The sequence below is a fragment of the Homo sapiens genome, chromosome 18 (assembly GCF_000001405.40).
Source record: "Homo sapiens chromosome 18, GRCh38.p14 Primary Assembly".
Lineage (NCBI taxonomy): Eukaryota > Metazoa > Chordata > Mammalia > Primates > Hominidae > Homo > Homo sapiens.
This window is the reverse complement of record NC_000018.10, coordinates 14,853,087-14,877,143: the sequence shown is the minus strand read 5'-3', so window position 1 is coordinate 14,877,143 and position 24,057 is coordinate 14,853,087. Positions and strand designations below refer to the sequence as shown.

The 24,057-nt window shown below is 50.1% G+C and overlaps 1 protein-coding gene across 5 annotated transcripts in view; it reads right to left on the bottom strand.

Annotated features, from left to right (window-relative positions):
• ANKRD30B (ankyrin repeat domain 30B) overlaps positions 1-24,057 on the bottom strand; it is a 192,964-nt gene that overhangs the window by 63,992 nt on the left and 104,915 nt on the right. For 3 of the 5 annotated variants that reach the window (XR_007066151.1, XR_007066152.1, XR_935057.3), the window contains exons 43-46: positions 23,201-23,335; positions 22,885-22,952; positions 21,575-21,716; positions 9,080-9,241 (exon numbers count right to left, since the gene is read on the bottom strand). Coding sequence is in view for 1 of the 5 variants with exons in the window: in NM_001367607.2 (NP_001354536.1) it covers positions 23,234-23,335 (102 nt within the window). In the remaining 4 variants the exon portion in view is untranslated. Of the gene's footprint in view, positions 1-9,079; positions 9,242-21,574; positions 21,717-22,476; positions 22,953-23,200; positions 23,336-24,057 lie in introns of those variants that run through there. The other 2 variants (XR_935058.3, NM_001367607.2) reach the window with 2 other exon arrangements.

The window sequence follows — 24,057 nt, the reverse complement described above, 5'->3', positions numbered from 1 at the left end:
ACTCTCCAGAACAATGGTACTGCTCCTGTGGTTTTGCCTGGTGCTCACGATTGAGACATACTCAAAGAAGAGACTGCTGGCTCTGCAGGTCCTCCAGGGACAGAAGCCAGGAATGTTGGCCAATACAGAAACATCATAAACATCCTTGTATTTGATGCATTCCTGGACCCATAGATCTGAAAGCAACCTTGAGAATAGAATGCACTGAATTTATTTCTCTGCCTCTGAGGAAGATTACATTTGAACTTTGCGTGACAGAGATCCAGCTAGAATCTTCACCTTAAAAACCTGGCTAAACAAAGCTCGTATTCATAAACAGGTGAACTTAAGGGTATCCCCATGCCTTTAAATAGTGAACACTCTGGTGCATTTTAAGCAGGAGTGATTCAGTGTATTCTCTTAGCACACAGTTTTCAGGAATGCAAAATATACCTGTGCCCAGCATCTTAAGTCTTTTAAAAAGTAGATGATGCCTTTCTCTCTGTTCACTTACAAGCTCATGCCTTTAAAAGCATTTGTTTGGAAGTCCTTCCTTAAATCTAACCTGAATCCAACCTGCTGTGCTTAAGGTTACCTCAGTAATCTTTCTAATACAACCCAAGAGAGAAGGACTGGAGGGAAGAATTTAAGACCCCCATGAGATCAGGAGCAGAATCCTAAGTTAGTTGTATCACTTGTGGCTAAATGTTGGCATCATTTCCCTAATTTTTTCTAGCCACTCCCAGGCACTCCAACTGACTCTGAGAATTTTCTTCTTGGACACACTTGAAGAAGCATCTGAAATTTGTGCCATGCAGCTTAGCACTTACTTACTCAACAAGGATGAATCTTAGAGACCATCAAGTTTTGCCCTTGCAGGAGAGAAGAGGAAACTGAGATTCAGAGAACTGTGACTTAATCAAGGACACATATCAAATCTGTGGCAAAGCTGGGAAGGTGACCCAAACTCCAGACCCCAAGCCCGGTGCTTTTTTTTTTTCCAGATCTATGTCTCCCCCACATCTTACTCTGTTTCCCTGAGGTCCAGAGCCATGCCCTGTTCCTTTTTAGGATTCTCACGACCCAGGCTTAGGCACATTAGTTGTCCAAAGCACACTTGGCTTGCTCTGACTTGAGCAGTACAATGAGCTATGTCTTAGTTTCAGGCAAGACCACCTTGACCATGGGACATGAAAAGGCACTCTATGGGGCCTCTACTATGATGTAGCAGGGATTGTGTTAGCACATTGCTATAGCCCTGGGAAGCAAGAATTCTTAGCGCCCATTGCCCAGATGAAGAAACGCACTTTCAGAGAGGGTAAAGAATGTCTCTATGGTACCACCGCTATATAGTGGCTAGGCTGGAATTCAAAACCAGGTTTGCCTGCCTCCTTCTCCTGTATGATACTGCTTCATAAACAGTCCCCAGAACCTTAATGACCAGGTGGAACGAACCAACAAGGTCATACTGAAATTGTGCACCAGTGCCCTAATGACCAAGAGAAAATACATTTCATTCAATTCAAAGGTATAAAGATGTAAGGTAGAAGCCACCAACTGTGGACATGGAGGAGCCTCAGAGTGACAGCACCTGCTGTCCAGGGGCTCCTCCTCCTCTCTTCCCTCGCAGTTTCTCTCTCCCTTCCTTTAACACTTATTGACTATGCCAGCCACACAGTAAGCGCTCAATAAGTGTTTGGGCCCATAACCTTCCTATGGGAAAGCCCCTTCACTTTCTGAACATGGCCTGGCACTGTCCAGATGCCCTTCTGTCCTGTGTGGTCCTGGGCAGGGGCATCTCCTCTTCCAGGACCGCTCTGAACTCTAATTTGATGGCAGCTGCCTGGCAACCTCATCATCCTCCTGACATGGCCATGTAGCTTCTCAGCTTCCATCATTCCCGAAAGTCTGCAAGGTTATGGGGTTTCCTTGCTCCAGAGGACACAAAATCGCTTAGCTCTGCTTGGATTTGCTCTTGGCTAGTGGAGACCTGTGACTGCTCTTCTGCTCCCTTGAGCCTTCCTCATGGAGGTTTGCTGAGGCACAGTCTGCGATTGATTCCTCATGCCCCTGCTAGGTTTTAACAGCTGGTGAAAACGTCTGCTCATATTTCACTCACACTCCCCTGGCTGCGGGTTCAAGTCACTGTTGATTTGGTCATTGGGTTACACACACGTGCAGCCTGAGTGGACCTGTATGAGTCTTCCCAGCATCAGCGGCCTTGACCTCTCATGAGGTCACTCCCCTAGGCTTTGAGAACCACTCCTTGAATATCATCTTGGAATGCGTAAAACAAACAACAAAAAGTTTGAAAGGGCTCAGGACTCTGCATTTGAAGAATCAAACTATACTATCTTCTGGGCAAGTCACTCCCCTCCTTGTACATGAGTTATTCCATTCATAAAAGGGAAGAACAGGGATAGATAAGCTTATAGGTCCCTTCTACACCCAGGCTCTGCCTGATTCTGCTGAACCACAACTTCGGGAGGGTGGCCAAGAGGTCTTTCTGGTCCCTGCTAACCACTTTCATCTATTCCCTTAACCTGAGGTCTGTAAACACTTTTTTTTTTGGCTTCAAAATACAAAAAGAGAAAACTGAAAAATCGAAATAGATAAAACTTTAATTAAATATCTACATAATGGAATGTTATGAAAACATCATTAATTGTTAAGGTTGATGTTCATACAAATTGTATTACACTTAAAAACAATTTGTTCCTTAGAATTACTCACTTTGAAAGGGTTTTCAAATAAGTCCAGCGATTGCTAAGGCCTCATAGCCATGAGTTAGTCACAGCCAACCACAAGCAAAATCATTAAAACCTCTTTTAAACATACTACAGCAAATAATAATAATAATTAACGTGAAATGTGGGTGACTTTCAGTATGTTTGATAAAATGTGGGTTGAAATCTCCAAAAGGAAGAGCGTTCAGGGTCTTCGAAAGTCTTAGGATTACTCTAGAACCAGAGTATAGAATATGCACTCATATTTATAAATCACTTACTCTGTGCCAGGCTCTTCTGAAGCCCTTCCCATGCATTAACTCACTTAATTGGTGAGACAATTCTTGAGGTAGACACAATCACCATTCCCATTCTACAGGTGAGGAAACTGACTAAGCAAGTAAGTGGCACAGCTAGAATGGAAATCAATGGCACCAGGGCTCATGTTCTCAGCCACCTTACCACATACAAAGCTTGCCATGCCGGGTGTTTCCCCAGGAGAAAACAAGTGCTGGCAGGTTAAGAAGGGAGGGAGGTACATCTCCCTAATGAGGAGTGCACTTGACACCGAGTTAAATGGAACCCATTCCTCGCTCGGCTCTACTGCTACTTGCTAACTCCTCTGTGGTTCTCTGCTGCCCACAGAGGTCTCCTCTGTAGCTGACTCTCAGCCTCGCCTAATGCTATTAATAATAAAGAGCTGATGTTATTGAGAACTCCATCAGCATTTTATACAGGACTTAATCTCATTCAATCCCCATGACCTCCATTTCATAAACAAGGGAATTGGGGGTTTAGAGAACTGAAACAATTTGCCCACAGTCACATAGCTCTCAGAAATAGCAGAAGCCAGGATTCACACTCCAATCTTATTCTAAAGCCCAAATTCTCTCTTTTTTTTTTTTTTTTTTTTTGAAACGGAGTCTTGCTCTGTCACCCAGGCTGGAGTGCAATGGCACCATCTCGGCTCACTGCAACCTCTGCCTCCCAGGTTCAAGTGATTCTCCTGCCTCAGCCTCCTGAGTAGCTGGGATTACAGGTGCCTGCCACCAGGCCCAGCTAATTTTTTGTATTTTTAGTAGAGATGGAGTTTCACCATGTTGGCCAGGCTGGTCTCAAAATTCTGACCTCGTGATCCACCCACCTCGGCCTCCCCAAGTGCTGGGATTACAGGTGTGAGCCACCATGCCCGGCCCCAAATTATCTTTTAATTATAAAGATATACATATTGTTTAAACAATTCAATAAATAAGTATACTGAATAACAAAGTGAAGTCTTCCCTTTACCACAATCAACCTACTGTTCTCTCTCTATCTGAGGCTCTCTTCCTACGTTCCACTGTCCCAGACTTCTGCAAAGTATTTATGTATCTATTTAGGTATCTGTCCATCTTTCCATTCCTCTTTCAATTATATATTCTGGTGGTTTCACTCTCCATGTGGCAACTCTACATCCAGGATCAAAACGGCATCAAAGGAAGCTTGGAACAGTGACAACTCCTACCTGAGATGTCTCCATTCTAGGGGCAAGGCTGCGTGGTGCCTGATATCCATGAGATTAGGAAAAGTAGGTGGGGTCCTGTCCACCCCTTCTATTCCCGAACGCTTGGCAGGGTTTCTGTGGCTAACATGCCAGTTGTATCGACTCCTGCACAGTCTCATGTGAAGTGCCACACTACATTCTCAGCCTGGAAGGTTTCAGGGCTCAGCTGGCTCAGATTCCATGTGTGGGGAGCATTAAGAAAAATAGGTCACCTGTATAAGACTAGTGGCAAAAATCTGACTCAGTGCTACTTCTCTGTTTGTCCTTTACTTAAAAGGAGAACCATAATTAAAATGATCCAGAAAAGAGAACCAAGCAGGAGACTGAGTTGCTTGGGGAAAGGACCACGCTGCATTGATTTCTATATAACCAATGGCAGCAGTGCATTGGATACACAACAGGTTCTCAATAAATTGTTAAATGGATAAGTTGATAGAATAAAAAACAAGGTCTCTTCCCAGTGCTGCATGCAAAAAAGCTCAGAGTGAATTCTTATTTGCAAAGATGAGAGATTTTTAGTCTTCTGATGGCTGTTTCCTCCTCTCTGTTTCCTTTGCCACAGTTTAGGGGCAAAGAAAAGTTTCCATCTCTTAGAAATGGTAGGAGAAACCCTTGGGGCTTAGCTAACAAATCAGGCTCTCTCTTTCCAATGTTGTGAGAATAGAAATATTTCACCATCAGCACCAACAATGTCATTTGCATAAGGAAGTGACTTCCTGGCTGAGAGATGGTCAGAATAACATAGAGCCTAGGAGTGAAGGCAGTGAAGTTTGTGAGCCTAGGGCTCTGGTTCTGGTGTCTGCTTCGTGGCTGTGTGATCTTGGGCAAGTTTCCTACATTTTCTGCTTCTCAGTTTTGTCATCCATAAAATAACAACAGTACCTGCCTCAAATAGTGTGTGGGAGAGGCTTAAACAAGCTAATGTAAGTCAAATCTTGAGCACAATCTCTGGTGTAGCTATACATGTTTGTGTATATATCAGAAGCTCAAAATTATACCATTAGTATTAACAACATACTCTGGACCCTCATTGTAATGCCATTCTCAATATCCCAACACTTGATTTCTATTGACAACTCCTAGGCTCCACTGTTCCTCCCACCTCGGCTTCCCGAGTAGCTGGGAATATAGCCACCATGGCTGGCTAATTTTTAATATTTTTTTTTGTAGGGACAGGGTCTTGCTATGTTACCCAGGCTGGTCTCAAACTCCTGGCCTCAAGAAATCCTCCCACCTGGGCCTCCCCAGGTGCTAGGATTTACAGGCATGAGCCACCATGCCAAGCTCCCTTCCTCCCCTTTGTTCTCCTAACCCCATCTCAGCATCTGCCCCTGAGGACCAATGCAACAGGGCAATCAGTACATCCATGGACTTCCCAACAGTCCTGTGGTGGACTAACCCAGGGGCAATGGTCACTGTCCCCTCTGGTGCATTCTTTGTCCCCATCAGCCTAGTAAGCTCCAGGGGCTGGCAGCTGGCACAGAGTACGAGGCTGCACTCCTTGACCTTTCTATGCTGCACACAGTCCTGTGCCCATCCTGTCCTCAGATCTGCTGGGACCATGACCAACCTGCCAAGAGCGTGGGAATTGGTATGTGACCCAGCTCTAGGAGGAGGTGGAGCAAGCGAATGTAGGGGAAGCTGCTCACCCAGTAGGTTTAGAGGGAGGGTGGGGTGGGGGTGCAGCAGGACCAGGCAGGTGAGGGTGTGCGGGTGAGGGTGTGCCGGTGTGGGTAGGGGTGTGTGGGTGGGGGTGTGTGGGTGAGGGTGTGTGGGTGAGAGTGTGTGGGTGAGGGTGTGCGGGTGAGGGTGGGGGTCTGTGGGTGGGGGTGTGTGGGTGGGGGTGTGTGGGTGGGGGTGTGGGTGAGGGTGTGTGGGTAGGGGTGTGTGGGTGGGGGTGGGCGGGTGAGAGTGTGTGGGTTAGGGTGTGAGTGCCTGTTTGGCTCTTCTGGGTGGGGCTGGATGAATGTTTGGGCGGGGGCAGCAGCTGTCACATGGCCTGGCTGCAGGTTTGGGACAGAAGCCAGGCAGGTGGGCTGTGTCAGGCACAGCTACAAACTGTGCCAAGGAAGCGGACCAGAGCAGGGGCCAAGGGAAACCTCTGCCTTAGCAGAAGATACTGGGGAGATGGGATCAATCAGGGAGGTCTTTCAAGGCACATGGTGCTTCATGGAGCCAGGGCCCAGGACAGGGAGGGCTGTAACCCTGGCTTGCCTGATTGGCTGAGCACAGACAGATAGAAGAGGGTGTAGGCAGCCCACTAGGTGGATGCCTAAGTGAGGAAGGAATGGGTGGCCAGGTGACTGAGACCCCCAAGACCAGGACCCCACTGTCAGGTCTGTGGCTTCCAAACGCCTGTGGGAAGTGTTCCCCTTTGGACACTGAGGCCATCAGCTTCAGCTTCACACACTTTTCCAGACAAAGTCCCGTGGGTAACCTCAAAAGTCACTTCTGGCCTTCCCCAGAGGGGAAAGGAGAGGGGTGCCTGTGGGCAGGTGACCCTCAGTGCTGGTGGAGGGCACAGCAGAGAGACTGCCTGCATGTGGGAGGCCCCCAGCAAACCTTGCCCAGACGTCACCACCCATTTGAGGCAAACTGTAAAATTATTACAATTTAGGCCAGGCGCAGTGGCCCATGCCTGTAATCTCAGCACTTTGGGAGGCCATGGCAGAAGGATTGTCTGAGCCTGCAGTGAGCTATGACTACACCCCTGCACTTCAACCTGGTCAACAGAGGAAGACACTGTATCTAAAATAAATAGGCTTCGCGTGGTGGCTCACTCCTGTAATCCCAACACTTTGGGAGGCCGAGGCAGGTGGATCACCTGAGGTGAGGAGTTCGAGACCGGCATGATCAATATGGTGAAACCTCATCTCTACTAAAAACACAAAACTTAGCAGGTCGTGGTGGCCCGTGCCTGTAATACCAGCTACTCAGGAGGCTGAGGCAGGAGAAATAGCTTGAACCCAGGAGGCAGAGGTTGCGGTGAGCCAAGGTCAGGCCACTGCACTCCAGCCTGGGCGACAGAGTGAGACCCCACCTCTAGAAAATAAATAAGATGGGAAAGCTATGTTCCTAACATTTTTCAAATGATAGTTCATACTAAAGAATGTTACCAATACTAATGCACAAAGCATTTTATAACTTTTAGACTATTAATAAAAGGTAAGACATGAAAACTGAAGTATTTGTAATCATGCTTAATACTGGAAGTTCCTATACCTGCAATGTAGCAGCTAATTATACAAAAATTTAATAAATGACAAAATAAAATTTTGCAAACAGATTTGTAAAAACCAGAAATAAATTTGTATTGGCAATTAATGTAGCATAATTAAAAATAATTTATTATGGTCATCTGCTAAATGCTAATTAATGTTAAAAGATTATTTTAATTATGACATCTTAACTTTTAATGGCTTTAAATATTATAAATATAAAAAACGGGTTTCTAAATTTAAAAGAAGAATGACTAAATTTTTCAGAATTATTTCATATTTCTTGTCATACAACATAAGAACACCATCCATGTTTCCTTTTAGATTAGGAACCCTCCCTTATTATCTCACTGAAAGGAGAATGCTGGAAGGTGCTAGTAAGATGACCGTCTAAGGACTCCAGAACTGAAGAAATTGTTTTGTGGCAATGCATGTCACTTCCCTAACTCAACTGGAAAAGGAGACAAAATCCTAGTGTTTTCAACCCTCAAGCTAGCAAGAAAACACAGCCCAGGTAAGCTCATCTCTTCTCCAATGGAGCTGGAGTCTACTCAACAAGAGGCGACCATTTAGAATAGAATTGTTCAGAAATTTGCTAACAATAAGCAGCCAACATAGACACATTCTCCTTAAATCTAAAATTCCCTTTTCCCCCACTAGGGTGCCTGAGAGGCATGTAGCAAAAGTGATCCCAACCACACCACGCAAACTAGCCAGGAAACCTTTTTGCCTTCACACATCTGAGAGTCCGTGAGAAGCCAGAGACAACACGGAGGCAGCAGAACACCAACAGGAGAGTCCCAGCATCACTTCCTGGCCATAGAAGCCCTCCTGAGCAGCAGGCAGAACAGAATCTGCTACAGCAATCAGCCTGCCGGAGAAGCCTCTGCCCCTGTGGCCTAAGGTTCCACTTTCCCCAGGTGACACCATGGGCAGGTGGGCTGAAGAAGTGGGAAGGTCAAATCAACTGGTCCAGGAGGATGCCTCTTTGATGATACAAGTGATACCGGTCTAAGCCTCGCCTCTTCCACAGGGGAAACTAGGTGGCCCAAAGGGTGCCCAGAGGCAGGGGACCTGCCACAGCAGCCACCCTCCTGAGAGGTTCCCTTTCTTCCCCTTGGTGAACTCCCTCCAACACACAGCTTGCCAAGAAAGCACCCTTTATCTTACATGGGGGGATCCCACAACACCAAAACCCAGGAAAGAAGCCTTTTGTCCCTTAAGGTTTATCACAACCAAAAACAAAAAGATACACAAATCGTAAGCCCCTAAATTCTGTTAAGAACAAAACAATGCTGCCACTCACACCTGGCTCAGATGCCAGCAGAAGGAGGGCACCCTCCAGAGACTGCAGGAGAAGGGGGAGGACTCCTCCTTGCCCTGGCTGCACCTCCACCATCACTGAGGCCTGTGGTACAGAACCAGCAGCTTCTTACACATCCCAGGCTGGGCCAGGCCCCAAAGCCCTCCTACTCCCCCTTCCTGGCCCCTAGACTTGCTGCTGCTGCCACCATTAGCACTGACGCCAAAGGAACCAGCGCTGCTGTCACCCTCCATGCACCTGCCCACCCTCCAAGGCTCCTACCACTTGGCCTCCACAGGTACCCTCCTACCGCTCCTGTTGAGCTGCCGTCTCCATCACCATGGCTGCCACAACCATAGGAGATGAATCACAGAGCTGTGCCATATTCAGGCTCCAACCTCCAGCTCACCACAGGGGACACCTCCTTCATCAGCCTGGCTTGGAGCAGCTGGGCAGACAATGCCAGAAAAACCTACAACAGGATGCAGAAAGTGACAGTGTTAGAGCCTCACCTTGTCATGCTGGCCACTGGGTGGCTGGGGCCAGTTTTGGCGAAGGCTCTCACACCCACCCTCCAAAGTCCAGCCTCTCCTCCTAGACCAAGCTGGCCTCCTGACCTGGGGTGGGGACTGGAGACACCACAGTGCCCGGGGCTCCCTGGGGAGCAAGAATAGCAGAAACTCAGACCCAGCCAGTCCTCCCCACCCAAGTACCAGTTCCCATTCCTGACTCCTCCACCCACAGGACCCTGAGCCCCCGTGGTGCCCACTACTCCATGCCTGGGGCTCCCAGATGGTCTCCACAACACAGAGCAAGAGGGCAAGGGCCGGGTAACCATGGTGGGTGCGAAGGCCCTGCGGTGGTCAGAGGATTGCCGTGAAAACTCTGTGCACCCTCTGCGCTCCAACACGAGCAGAAGTTGTTCACCCTCTAGAACCTTGAGTCCAGGAAGAGGAGAAGGGCCCCTTCCTCAGAGGCCACCACTGTCATGGCCACCTCCACAACCTGCTGCTGGCAGCAGCAGTGCAGCCTCCCCCCATACCACCCCTAACCTGCCCCCCCTCCCCACAAGCTTAGCCCCCAGATTGTGCCCACAACACACCCAGAGACTGCTGCAGGCAGTGTTACCCTGATAGCACCCCCAAACCACCCGTGGTGGACACTCGATAGTGTCCACAACCCATCCCTGCCACGGGTGTTGCAGCACCAAATAGTGCCCCATCAAACCCGCCCCCCACCCGGACCACAAGCAGCACAGCCCCAGATAGCGCCCCCAATCTGCTCCTGTCACAGGCAGTGAACGCCCGGGGTACTGCACCCAACCAACCCCCCGACCCCACCTTCCCCTTTCCCCCACGGACAATGCAACATTTGACAGCTCCCCTAAAGCACCCCCGGACTGCCTGCCAGTTGGCATTGTTGCTGACATTGTAGCTCATGGTAGCTAACCCAACCTGCCCCCTGCATTGGCCAGTGCAGCAGCTAATTCCCCTAACCCCCTGCCACCCGCCGCTGGTAGTGCACGACAGCGCACACAACCTGCCTCCAACCGCCTGCCACCTTAGGCAGTGTAGACCCTGATAGCGCAGTGAACCTGCCCCACTGCCAGCAATTCAACGCCCGATAGCGCCACCCACTAGCCCCCTGCGGCAGGCAGTGCAGCCCCAAAAGCACACCCAACCCACCCCACCACCACCCCACAAGCGGGCAGTGCAGCTGCAGAGAGCGCACCTACCCTGCCATCTTTCTACTACTCTAACAGAGATGCAGTCTCCGTTGCCACCACCAACCGCAACCAGGCGAGCCATGGTGGCCAAGGCTCCAGCTGCCAGCGTTGGGCACGGTCCCCACCTTCTCCTAGACCTCTAGCTGGTCAAGAGCAGCTCCAGCTGCCAGCCACCCTCCTACAGCTCAGGCTGCACTCCTACCGCCCCGGCTGCCATCTTACTGCTCCAGCCTCCCGCCTACCACTCCGGCCATGATCTTACTGCTCCAGCCCCCCTCCTACCACTCAGGCCACCCTCCTACCACTCAGGCCACCCTCCTAACACTCCAGCCACACTGCCATCTCTGTTGCCACCACCATCTAGAGTGAGACGAGCCACAGTGTTACAGGCTCCAGCCTCCAGCTCCCCCTTCTCCTGGTCCTCTAAGCCGGGAACAGAGTAGCTTGGCTGGAGATACTGGAGAGCCTAAACTGGCATGAGGCCTCCTCAGCATGCACGTGGGGTTACGCACATGGTTTCTGGACTACATGTTCCGATTGGGTGAGAGAAAACCTCTAGGCCTTCTCTGATTGGACTTTATTTTCATACTCTGATTGGTTGTCCTAAGACTTTCTTTCATCCAATCAGAACATGATAACAAAGTCCAATCAGAGTAGGCCTCCGGGCTTTCTCTTATCCAATCCTGGAACGTGTAGTCCAGGAAAGGCATATTCATAACCTCAGTACATAAATGGTGCTGAAGAAGAGTCAGGCTATTCCAGGTTCTTCTGTATCTGCTCACCGAGCTGCTCTGAGCCCGGCTTAGAGGACCAGGACAGACTGGAGGCTGTAGCCTGTGGCACCATGGCTGGCCTCCCTGCAGTTGGTGGTGACAGAGACTGTAGTGTGGCTGGAGCGGTAGGAAAGGGAAAATAGTTTTGGGATAGATGAAAGGGTAAAGAGGGTGGTTAGTGCCAAAAGGAAAAAAGGATGGTGAGCTGGAGAAGGCATTGCATAAAGATGGTGAGGAAAAGATGTTGGGAAAAAAAAAACTGGGGGTAGATGGAGGGGGAAAAACAGGGTGGTGAACAGGAGGGACGGAAGGTTTCACAGAAAGACGGTAGTGAAAAAGTTTTTGGGTAGATGGAAGGGGGTAAGAGAGGGTCGTGAGTGGGGAACGGGGATGAGCAGGAAGGAGAGAAGGTTTGCAAAAATACGGTGGGGAGAGAAGAAAGGGAAAGAAGACTGTAGGTAAAAAGATTTTGAGTAGATGGAGGGGGGAAAAGGGTGACAAGTGGAAGGAGAAAAGAGGGTGCAGAGAGGGAGGGGGAAGAGAGAGTGGCAAGCAGGAGGGAGAGAAGGTTTTGTGAAAAGACAGTGAGGAGAGAAGCTTTTAGGTAGATGGAGAGGGAAAAGAGGGTGGCCAGTGGGAGAAGGATAAAGAGGGTGGCGAGGAGGAAAGTGAAAAGGTTTTGCGAAAAGACGATAGGCAGAAAAGAAAGTGTAGAAAGAAAAGACAGTGGGTAAAAAGTGTTTGGGTAGATGGAGGGGGAGAAGAGGGTGGCAAGTGGGAGGAGAATAGAAAGTGTGGCCAGAGGGAGTGGGGAAAGAGGACTGGGAAAAAGGCGATGGGGAAAATAGTTCGGGGTAGATGGAAGGCAAAAAGAGGGTGGCAAGCAGGACAGAGGAAAGAAGAGGGTGAGCGGGAAGCGGGGAAGGCTTTGTGAGAAGGTGGCAGGGAAAAATTGGGGAGGTAGATGGGTTAAAAGAGCGTGGTGAGCAGGAGGAGAGAAGAGGCTTTGCAAAAAGACGGCGGGAAAATGTTTTTGGTAGATGGAGAAGGGAAAGGGTGGCAAGGAGGATGGGAGAAAAAGATGATAGGGAAACAGTTTTTGGGTAGATGGAAGGGGAAAGAGAGGGTGGCGAGCAGCAGGAGTGGGGAGAAGGCTTTGGGAAAAGATGAGGGAAATGTTTTTGGGAGTTGAAGGAGCAAAAGAGGATGATGAGAGCAGGAGGTGGAAAAAAGGCTGGCCAGGGAGAGGGAGAAAAGACGTTGGGGAAAAGTTTTGGGGTAGATGGGTGGGGAAAATGGAAGTGAGCGGTAAAGTATAGAAGGCTTTGCAAAAAGACAGTGGGGAAAAAATGGTGGGGAAAAAGTTTTGGGGTAGATGGAGGAAGAAAAAGGGTGGTGAGAGAGGGAGCCAAAGACGGTCAGGAAAAAAATTCCTCCTGTTACTGATTTTTTAATACTCTTCCACTCTGCTCAGAAAAAATAATTGATATGATTTCAGGGTTTTTTTTGTTTTGGTTTGGTTTGGTTTGGTTTGGTTTTTTGAGACGGAGTCCTGCTCTGTTGCCCAGGCTGGAGTGCAGTGGTGTGATCTTGGCAAACTGCCACCTCCACCTCCCCGGTTCAAGCCATTCTTTTGACTCAGCCTCCTGAGTAGCTGGGATTACAGGCATGCACCACGACGCCCAGCTAATTTTGCATTTTTAGTTCTAAATGGGGTTTCTCCATGTTGGTCAGGCTGGTCCCGACCTCTGTTGATTGGCCCACCTCTGCCTTCCAAAGTGCTGGGATTACAGGTTTGAGCCACCGCACCTGGCAAGGATGTTGAATTTTATTGAATATTTTTTTCTGCATCTATTGAGATAATCATATGATTTTTGTTTTAAATTCTGTTTATATGGTAAATCACATTTATTGATTTGCATATGTTAAATAGTCCTTGCATCCCAGGAATAAAACCCATGTAATCATGATGAATTACATCTTTGATATGCTGATGGATTTGGTTTGCTAGCATTTTGTTGAGGATATTTGCATCTATGTTCATCAGATATTGGCCTGTAGTTTGTTGTTGTTGTTTCCTTGCTAGATTTTAGTGTCAGGATGATACTGGTTTTGTAGAATGAGTTAGAGAGGAATTCCTTCTCCTCAATGTTTTAGAATGGTTGCAGTAAGATTGATACCATCTATTTTTTTGTATGCTTGGTAAAATTCAGCTGTGAATTCATCTAGTCCTGGGCTTCTCCTGCCTGATAAATATTTTTATTACAAATTCAATTTCATAATTAACTACTGGTTTATTCAGATTTTTTTTAAATTTATAGAGAAAAAATATTTATTTGGTTTATAGTTGTGCAGGCAGTAGAAGCATGGGACCAGCACCTGCTCAGGTTTGGGTGAGACCTCAGAAAGCATCCAATCACAGAGGAAGGCAAAGTGAGGGCCAGTGTATCACGTGTCAAGAGAGAAATGAATAGCAAGAAGGGGAACACGGCAGGCTGTTTTAAACAACCAGCTCTCATGTGACACAACAGAGCAAGGACTTGCTCATCACCAAGGGGATGGAGCTAAGCAAATTATGAAGAGTCCACCCCCATGATTCAACACCTTCCACTAGGCCCACCACCAACGTTTAAGATCACATTCAACAAGAGATTTGGAGGGTAAACACATCCAAACAATGTCATTTCACACCTATGCCCACCAAATCTCATGTCCTTCTCATATTGCACAATACAATTATCATCTCTCAGTAGTCCCCAAAAATCTCAAGCTGTTTCAGCATCAACTCAAAAGTCCGAAATCTCATCTGAACTTCAAGGTACGTTCCTCCATCTGTGAGCCTATAAGATCAAAGCCAAGTTATTTGCTTCCAATATTCAATGCAGTACAGGTGTTGGGTAAATATTCCAATTCCCAAATGGCGAAGTTGGGCAAAAGAAAGGGGCAACAGGCCTCAGGCAAATCTGAAACCCAGTAGGGCAAACATAAAACCTTCAAGCTCCAAAATAATTCTTGATTTCATGTCCCGCATCCAGGGCACACTTGTGCAAGGGGTGGGTTCCCAAGACCTTATGCAGCTCTGCCTCTGTGGCTTTGCAGTGTACAGTCACCATGGCTGCTGTCTTGGATCAGAGTTGAGTGCCTGTGGTATTTCTAGGCTCAGGATGAAAGCTTCCCGTGGCTCTACCATTCAGGGATCTCGAGGTGGCGGCCCCATTCCCACAGCTCCTGTAGGTAGTGCCCCAGTGGGGACTGTGTGGAGGCTTCAATCCCATATTTCCTGTTGGCACTGCCCTAGTGGACTTTTGGTTTCTTTCTGATTCAGTCTTGGAAGGTTGTGTGTTTCCAGGAATTTATCCATTTTCTCTAGGTTTTCTAGTTTATGCACACAAACATATTCTGAGGATCTTTTTTTATGTCAGTGGTATCCTTTGCAATGTCTCATTTGTAATTTTTTATTGTGCTTATTGGAATCTTCTTTTTTCTTGTATAATCTAACTAGCAATCTATCATTTTTATGTGTCCTTGCAAAGAACCAACTTTTTAATTTTGCTGATTCCTTGTATGGTTTTTTTGGTCCCAATTTCATTAACTTATTCTCTAACCTTTGTTATTTCCTTCTACTAGCTTTGGGTTTGGTTTGTTCTTTTCTAGTGTGTTTGGCTATTTTAGCTTGTTAATTTGAGATCTTTCTCTCTTTTTATGTAGGCATTTAGTGTTATAAACTCTCCTCTTAACATTGTTTTTTCTGTATCCCAGACGTTTTGGTATGTTATGTTTCTATTTTCATTTGTTTCAGGAATTTCTTTAAATTTCCGCCTTAATTCTGTTATTTACACAAAAGTCTTTCAGGAGCAGATTGTTTAGTTTCCATGTACCTCTGTGGTTCTGAGAGTTCTTGATATTGACTTCTAATTTTATTCCACAGTGGTCCGAGAAGACACTTAATATAGTTGTGATTTTTAAAAATTTATTGAGGCTTATTTTATGACTGAGCATGTGGTCAATTTTAGAGAATGTTCCATGTGCAAATGAGAAAAATGTACATTCTGTGGTTTCTGGGTGGAGTATTCTGTAGATATCTATTAGGTCTGTTTGGTCAAGAGCCCAGTTTGAGTCCACAGTTTCATTGTTAGTTTTCTGCCTAATAATCTGCCTAACTAATCTGCTTACTGCTGTCGGTGGGGTGTTGAAGTCCTCCATGATTATTGTACAGCTGTGTATCTCTTTTCTTAGGTCTAGTAATATTTATTCTAAAAATCTGGGTGCTCTAATGTTGGCTGCATATATATTTAAGACAGTTAAGTCTTCTCGTTGAATTGAACACTCCATCATTATATAATGTCATTCTTTGTATTTCTTTTTACTGTTGTTAGTTTAATGTCTGTTTTATCTGATACAAGAATAGCAATACCTCTCCTTTTTTGTTTTTCATTTATGTGATGAATATTTTTCCATCCATTTACTTTGAGCCTGTTGGTATCATTACACATGAGATGGGTCTCTCAAAGGCAGCAGAAGTGTCTTCTTTTTTTTATCCAGTTTGCCACTTTGTGTCTATTCAGTGGAGCATTTCAGCCATTTACAATCAAGCTTAATATTGATGTGTTAGGTTTTCTTCCTTTTATAGTGTTAGCTAGTTACCTTGTAGTCTCAATTGTTTAATTGCTTTATAGGTTCTGTACATTTTGTATTCATGTATGCTTTTATGGTAGCAAGTATCATTCTTTTATTTTCACGAGCCAAACTCCTTTAAACATTTCTTTTAGAGTCAGTCTGGAGGTAACGACTTCCCTTAGCATTTTCTTGTCTGGAAATACCTTATTTTCCTTTCTTTATGAAGCTCAGTCTGGCAGGTTATGAAATTCTTGCACTGGCTGGGTGCAGTGGCTCGCACCTGTAATCCTAGCACTTTGGGAGGCCAAGGCAGGCAGATCACCTGAGGTCAGCAGTTCAAGACCAGCCTGGCCAACATGAAGAAACTCCCTATTAAAAATACCAAAATTTGCCAAGTGTGGTGGTGCACACCTGCAATCCCAGCTACTGGTGAGGCTGAGGCAGGAGAATTGCTTGAATCCAGGAAGCAGAGGTTGCAGTGAGCTGACATCACACCACTGCACTCCAGCCTGGGTGGCAAAGTGAGACTCTGTCTCCAAAAAAAAAAAATTATTGGATGGCATTTTTTTTTCTTTAAGAAGACTAACGCTAGGCCCCAATCTTTTCTAGGTTGCAGGGTTTCTGCTGATAAGTCAGTTGTTAATCTAATTTACTTTATAGGTAATTTGGCCCTTTGTTTGAGCCCATCATCTGGGAGGTGAGTAACGCCTCTGCCCGGCCACCTTGTCTGGGAAGTGGGGAGCCCCTCTGCCCAGCCACCCCATCTGGGAGGTGAGGAGTGCCTCTGCCTGGCCACCCAATGTCTGGGAGGTGAGGAGTGCCTCTTCCCGGCTGCCCCATCTGGGAGGTGAGGAGCGCCTCTGCCCGGCCACCCCCTCTGGGAAGTGAGGAGCGCCTCTGCCCGGCAGCCCTGTCTGGGAAGTGAGGAGCGCCACTGCCTGGCTGCCCCGTCTGGGTTGTGAGGAGCACCTCTGCCTGACCGCCACCCCATCTGGGAAGTGGGGAGCGCCTTTGCCCAGCTGCCCCGTCTGGGAAGTGAGGAGCACCTTTCTCCTGCTGCCCATCATCTGGGAGGTGAGGAGCGCCTCTGCATGGATGACACACCATCTGGGAAGTGAGGAGCGCCTCTGCCCAGCCGCCCCATCTGGGAAGTGAGGAGTGCTTCTGCCTGGCCGCCCATTGTCTGGGAGGTGAGGAGCGCCTCTGCCCGGCCACCCTGTCTGGGTTGTGAGGAGCGCCTCTGCCCAGCTCCCACCCTGTCTGGGAAGTGGGGAGCGCCTCTTCCCGGTCGCCCCATCTGGGAGGTGAGGAGTGCCTCCCTCCAGCTGCCCATCATCTGGTAGGTGAGGAGTGCCTCTGAATGGACGACACACAATCTGGGAACTGAGGAGCGCCTCTGCCTGGCCGCGCCATCTGGGAAGTGAAGAGCGCCTCTGCCCGGCCGCCCCATCTGGGAAGTGAGGAGCGCCTCTGCCTGGCTGCCCATCATCTGGGAGGTGAGGAGCACCTCTCCCCAGCCACCCATTGTCTGGGAGGTGAGGAGTTCCTCTGGCTGGCCGCCCGGTCTGGCAGTTGAGCGCCTCTGCCCGGCCACCCCCTCTGGGAAGTGAAGAGCGCCTCTGCCCAGCCTCCCCATCTGGGAGGTGAGGAGCGCCTCTGCCCGGCTGCCCCATCTGGGAGGTGAGGAGCGCCTCTGCCTGACCTCCACCCCATCTGGGAATGGGGAGTGGCATTTCTCGGCCGCCCCATCTGGGAAGTGAGGAGCACCTTTCTCTGGCTGCCAATCATCTGGGAGGTGAGAAGCGCCTCTTCACGGATGACACACCATCTGGGAAGTGAGGAGCGCCTCTGCCTGGCTGCCCCATCTGGGAAGTGAGGAGCACCTCTTCCTGGTCTCCCCGTCTGGGAGGTGAGGAGCGCCGCTGCCCGGCCACCCCATCTAGGAGGTGAGGAGCGCCTCTGCCCAGCCACCCCATGTGGGAGGCGAGGAGCGCCTCTGCCTGGCCGCCCAGTCTGGGAGGTGAGGAGCGCCTTTGCCCAGCTGCCCATCATCTGGGAGGTGAGGAGCGCCTCTGCCAGCCCGCCCCATCTGGGAGGTGAGGAGCGCCTCTTCCTGGTCTCCCCGTCTGGGAGGTGAGGAGCGCCTCTGCCCGGCCACCCCATCTAGGAGGTGAGGAGCGCCTCTGCCCGGCCACCCCATGTGGGAGGCGAGGAGCACCTCTGCCTGGCCGCCCAGTCTGGGAGGTGAGGAGCGCCTTTGCCCAGCTGCCCATCATCTGGGAGGTGAGGAGTTCCTCTGCCAGGCCGCCTCATCTGGGAGGTGAGGAGCGCCTCTGCCCAGCCGCCCCGTCTGGGAAGTGGGGAGCACCTCTGCCTGGCCGTGATGTCTGGGAGGTGAGGAGTGCCTCTGCCTGGCCACCCCGTCTGGGAAATGAGGAGCACCTCTGCCTGGCTGCCCATTGTCTGGGAGGTGAGGAGCCCCTCTGCCTGGCTGCCCCCCCTGGGAGGTGAGGAGCACCTCTGCCCAGCCGCCCCGTCTGGGAGGTGAGGAGTGCCTCTGCCCGGCCACCCATCGTCTGGGATGTGAGGAGTGCCTCTGCCTGGCTGCCCTTCGTCTGGTAGGTGAGGAGTGCCTCTTCCCAGCCGCCCCATCTGGGAAATGAGGAGCACCTCTTGCCTGGTTGCCCCATCTGGGAAGTGAGGAGCGCCTCTGCCCAGCTGCCCCATCTGGGAAGTGAGGAGCACCTCTGCCCAGCCGCCCCATCTGGGAAGTGAGGAGTGCCTCTGCCTGGCTGCCCATTGTCTGGGAGGTGAGGAGTGCCTCTGCCCGGCCACCCTGTCTGGGTTGTGAGGAGCGCCTCTGCCCAGCTCCCACCCTGTCTGGGAAGTGGGGAGCGCCTCTTCCCGGTCGCCCCATCTGGGAGGTGAGGAGTGCCTCCCTCCAGCTGCCCATCATCTGGTAGGTGAGGAGTGCCTCTGAATGGACGACACACAATCTGGGAACTGAGGAGCGCCTCTGCCTGGCCGCGCCATCTGGGAAGTGAAGAGCGCCTCTGCCCGGCCGCCCCATCTGGGAAGTGAGGAGCGCCTCTGCCTGGCTGCCCATCATCTGGGAGGTGAGGAGCACCTCTCCCCAGCCGCCCATTGTCTGGGAGGTGAGGAGTTCCTCTGGCTGGCCGCCCGGTCTGGCAGTTGAGCGCCTCTGCCCGGCCACCCCCTCTGGGAAGTGAAGAGCGCCTCTGCCCAGCCTCCCCATCTGGGAGGTGAGGAGCGCCTCTGCCCGGCTGCCCCATCTGGGAGGTGAGGAGCGCCTCTGCCTGACCTCCACCCCATCTGGGAATGGGGAGTGGCATTTCTCGGCCGCCCCATCTGGGAAGTGAGGAGCACCTTTCTCTGGCTGCCAATCATCTGGGAGGTGAGAAGCGCCTCTTCACGGATGACACACCATCTGGGAAGTGAGGAGCGCCTCTGCCTGGCTGCCCCATCTGGGAAGTGAGGAGCACCTCTTCCTGGTCTCCCCGTCTGGGAGGTGAGGAGCGCCGCTGCCCGGCCACCCCATCTAGGAGGTGAGGAGCGCCTCTGCCCAGCCACCCCATGTGGGAGGCGAGGAGCGCCTCTGCCTGGCCGCCCAGTCTGGGAGGTGAGGAGCGCCTTTGCCCAGCTGCCCATCATCTGGGAGGTGAGGAGCGCCTCTGCCAGCCCGCCCCATCTGGGAGGTGAGGAGCGCCTCTTCCTGGTCTCCCCGTCTGGGAGGTGAGGAGCGCCTCTGCCCAGCCACCCCATCTAGGAGGTGAGGAGTGCCTCTGCCCGGCCACCCCATGTGGGAGGCGAGGAGCACCTCTGCCTGGCCGCCCAGTCTGGGAGGTGAGGAGCGCCTTTGCCCAGCTGCCCATCATCTGGGAGGTGAGGAGTTCCTCTGCCAGGCCGCCTCATCTGGGAGGTGAGGAGCGCCTCTGCCCAGCCGCCCCGTCTGGGAAGTGGGGAGCACCTCTGCCTGGCCGTGATGTCTGGGAGGTGAGGAGTGCCTCTGCCTGGCCACCCCGTCTGGGAAATGAGGAGCACCTCTGCCTGGCTGCCCATTGTCTGGGAGGTGAGGAGCCCCTCTGCCTGGCTGCCCCCCCTGGGAGGTGAGGAGCACCTCTGCCCAGCCGCCCCGTTTGGGAGGTGAGGAGTGCCTCTGCCCGGCCACCCATCGTTTGGGATGTGAGGAGTGCCTCTGCCTGGCTGCCCTTCGTCTGGTAGGTGAGGAGTGCCTCTTCCCAGCCGCCCCATCTGGGAAATGAGGAGCACCTCTTGCCTGGTTGCCCCATCTGGGAAGTGAGGAGCGCCTCTGCCCAGCTGCCCCATCTGGGAAGTGAGGAGCACCTCTGCCCAGCCGCCCCATCTGGGAAGTGAGGAGTGCCTCTGCCTGGCTGCCCATTGTCTGGGAGGTGAGGAGTGCCTCTGCCCGGCCACCCTGTCTGGGTTGTGAGGAGCGCCTCTGCCCAGCTCCCACCCTGTCTGGGAAGTGGGGAGCGCCTCTTCCCAGTCGCCCCATCTGGGAGGTGAGGAGTGCCTCCCTCCAGCTGCCCATCATCTGGTAGGTGAGGAGTGCCTCTGAATGGACGACACACAATCTGGGAACTGAGGAGCGCCTCTGCCTGGCCGCGCCATCTGGGAAGTGAAGAGCGCCTCTGCCCGGCCGCCCCATCTGGGAAGTGAGGAGCGCCTCTGCCTGGCTGCCCATCATCTGGGAGGTGAGGAGCACCTCTCCCCAGCCGCCCATTGTCTGGGAGGTGAGGAGTTCCTCTGGCCGGCCGCCCGGTCTGGCAGTTGAGGAGCGCCTCTGCCCGGCCACCCCCTCTGGGAAGTGAAGAGCGCCTCTGCCCAGCCTCCCCATCTGGGAGGTGAGGAGCGCCTCTGCCCGGCTGCCCCATCTGGGAGGTGAGGAGCGCCTCTGCCTGACCTCCACCCCATCTGGGAATGGGGAGTGGCATTTCTCGGCCGCCCCATCTGGGAAGTGAGGAGCACCTTTCTCTGGCTGCCAATCATCTGGGAGGTGAGAAGCGCCTCTTCACGGATGACACACCATCTGGGAAGTGAGGAGCGCCTCTGCCTGGCCGTCCCATCTGGGAAGTGAGGAGCACCTCTTCCTGGTCTCCCCGTCTGGGAGGTGAGGAGCGCCTCTGCCCGGCCACCCCATCTAGGAGGTGAGGAGCGCCTCTGCCCGGCCACCCCATGTGGGAGGCGAGGAGCACCTCTGCCTGGCCGCCCAGTCTGGGAGGTGAGGAGCGCCTTTGCCCAGCTGCCCATCATCTGGGAGGTGAGGAGCGCCTCTGCCAGGCCGCCTCATCTGGGAGGTGAGGAGCGCCTCTGCCCAGCCGCCCCGTCTGGGAAGTGGGGAGCACCTCTGCCTGGCCGCGACGTCTGGGAGGTGAGGAGTGCCTCTGCCTGGCCACCCCGTCTGGGAAATGAGGAGCACCTCTGCCTGGCTGCCCATTGTCTGGGAGGTGAGGAGCCCCTCTGCCTGGCTGCCCCCCTTGGTAGGTGAGGAGCACCTCTGCCCAGCCGCCCCGTCTGGGAGGTGAGGAGTGCCTCTGCCCGGCCGCCCATCGTCTGGGATGTGAGGAGTGCCTCTGCCTGGCTGCCCTTCATCTGGTAGGTGAGGAGTGCCTCTTCCCAGCCGCCCCATCTGGGAAATGAGGAGCACCTCTTGCCTGGTTGCCCCATCTGGGAAGTGAGGAGCGCCTCTGCCCAGCCGCCCCATCTGGGAAGTAAGGAGCACCTCTGCCTGGCCGTTGTGCAATCTTCCAAGTGTGAAGTGACAGCCTTTCTGCAGGTGTACCCAACAGCTTCGAAGAGACAGCCACCATCGGGAACGGACCATGATGATGATGGCAGTTTTGTCAAAAAGAAAAGAGGGAAATGTGGGGAAAAGGAAGAGAGATCAGATTGTTACTGTGTCTGTGTAGAAAGAAGTAGACATAGGAGACTCCATTTTCTTCTGTACTAAGAGAAATTCTTCTGCCTTGGGATGCTGTTAATCTATAACCTTACCCCCAACCCCGTGCTCTCTGAAACATGTGCTGTGTCAACTCAGGGTTAAATGGATTAAGGGCGGTGCAAGATGGGCTTTGTTAAACAGATGCTTGAAGGCAGCATGCTCATTAAGAGTCATCACCACTCCCTAATCTCAAGTACCCAGGGACACAAACACTATGGAAGGCTGCAGGGACCTCTGCCTAGGAAAACCAGAGACCTTTGTTCACGTGTTTATCTGCTGACCTTCTCTCCACTATTATCCTATGACCCTGCCACATCCCCCTCTCCAAGAAACACCCAAGAATGATCAATAAATAATAATAAAAAAAGCATAGTGCATCACCCCAAGGGTAGAGCGTGTGTGTGTGTGTGTGTGTGTGTGTGTGTGTGTGTGTGTGTGTGTGTTCGTGGATAGTTTCTCCTAGCTAACCATAAGACAGGAACTTGGAGTCTTGGGACAGGAAGAGAGAAAAGAGGGGAGAAAGTATCCTGAACCAAGTATAGAGTTGTCAATCTCTTAACTAGAAGGTTCAATAGTTGGGATTTATTTCCACAAAACAAGGAAATTTGTGTTTTTATAATTATAAAAAAGTGTTCCTGTCTGTCTAGGCTTGTACCTAAATGGGAGACTATAAACTCTATTGTCCAGTATTTTACTGAAAACTATGTATGACACTCTGCAGTCCATTGTGACATTCCTACAGCCAAGAAAAATAACTGAAAACACTGAACGTGTCAGGGATTCATGATAAGGATTCATTTCTGGAGCAAAGACTGGTCTTGTGAAGAAAGGACCTGTCCCCTTCTCATGCATGGGATTCTACCCCCATCCCACACACCAGAAGCACTGCCAGGACATCTCTGCACTATGCTGTGAGGTGGGTGGTTTAGGGTACCATTGTTATATGACTTTTATCATTTTAGTTCTGTACATCCTATCTTGGGAAGTAAATTTTTGGTTATTTCTTTTCATTTTACCTTTTCTTCTTGTTTAACTTTAAAATGGAAAAAGAAGCAAATGTTCACAATAAACTTTACTGTTTAATCTGAAAAAAAAAAGAAAAACATTGCAGAATGATAGCCACAGTTTTAAAAATAAGCACATTATAAAGATAATAAAATTGTAATAAAACTAATTATAATGAACATATAAAAGAAGTCTTCCTGTGGATATTAGTATCATAAAACAATTTATATTATTTAACCAGTTATAGACTCACTGTTGGCATGTTACATTTAACACACACTTGACTTTTGATTTGAAATCATTTCCTCATTAAATCCTGTATCTCACCTTTGAGATTAATGTGATAATGTGATGTAGCCTCTATTGATGCCTCAGAGAGTGAGAATGTGATGTAACCTTTAGTGAAGCCTCACACTGTTTATTAAGATCCGCCAATTTTTTTTGAAGTTGTCTCACAATGACCTGAAAAGACATGTTTTTGATTTTGTGAATCATCTTATCAAATTAACAATATTTACTTTCAAAAAGATCCCCAAATATATTGATTCAGTTTATTTTCTTCATTTGTGCACACTGCTGCTTGTTAGTGAATTTACTTAAGGACACAAGAAGGTGTAATCTTTCTGCCAAATTGGTACTGTCTTACTAGACACAAGATTCATCTCACTGGTAATTTCTTCCCTTAATGAATCTGTAATTCTTCACAACTTACTGAAGTCTCAAAAAAAAAAAAAAGGCAGGACTAGTGGTGGTAAATTCTAAACAGTGGAATTCTTTCCTTCTTCTGTATTAGAAGCACAAATCAACATCAAAGTTCCTCACATATTCAATCACCTGCTGAAATTTTTCCAATAGATTTTTATCTCAGAATAAAAGTAATTTTATTTCAAACTTTACAGGCCCTTGGTAACCTGGTCTCCACATCCCTCCTGACCTCAGCTCCTATGTTTCTCTCCTCTACTCACTTCTTTTGTACTATACATGAACCTTGCCACCCCTTATGAATTGAAAAATGGGGATCCAATGCAAAGCTAATAAATCACAGATAGCTACAATCATCTTTCTGTGGGACAAAGTTCTATCCACATGATAGTTTTTGAGCCTTGAAATAGAAATTATGAGCAAATGATTTGTAACAATATTCAAAATAAATTATGAATACCAGTGGGGTGATTAAATCAAAT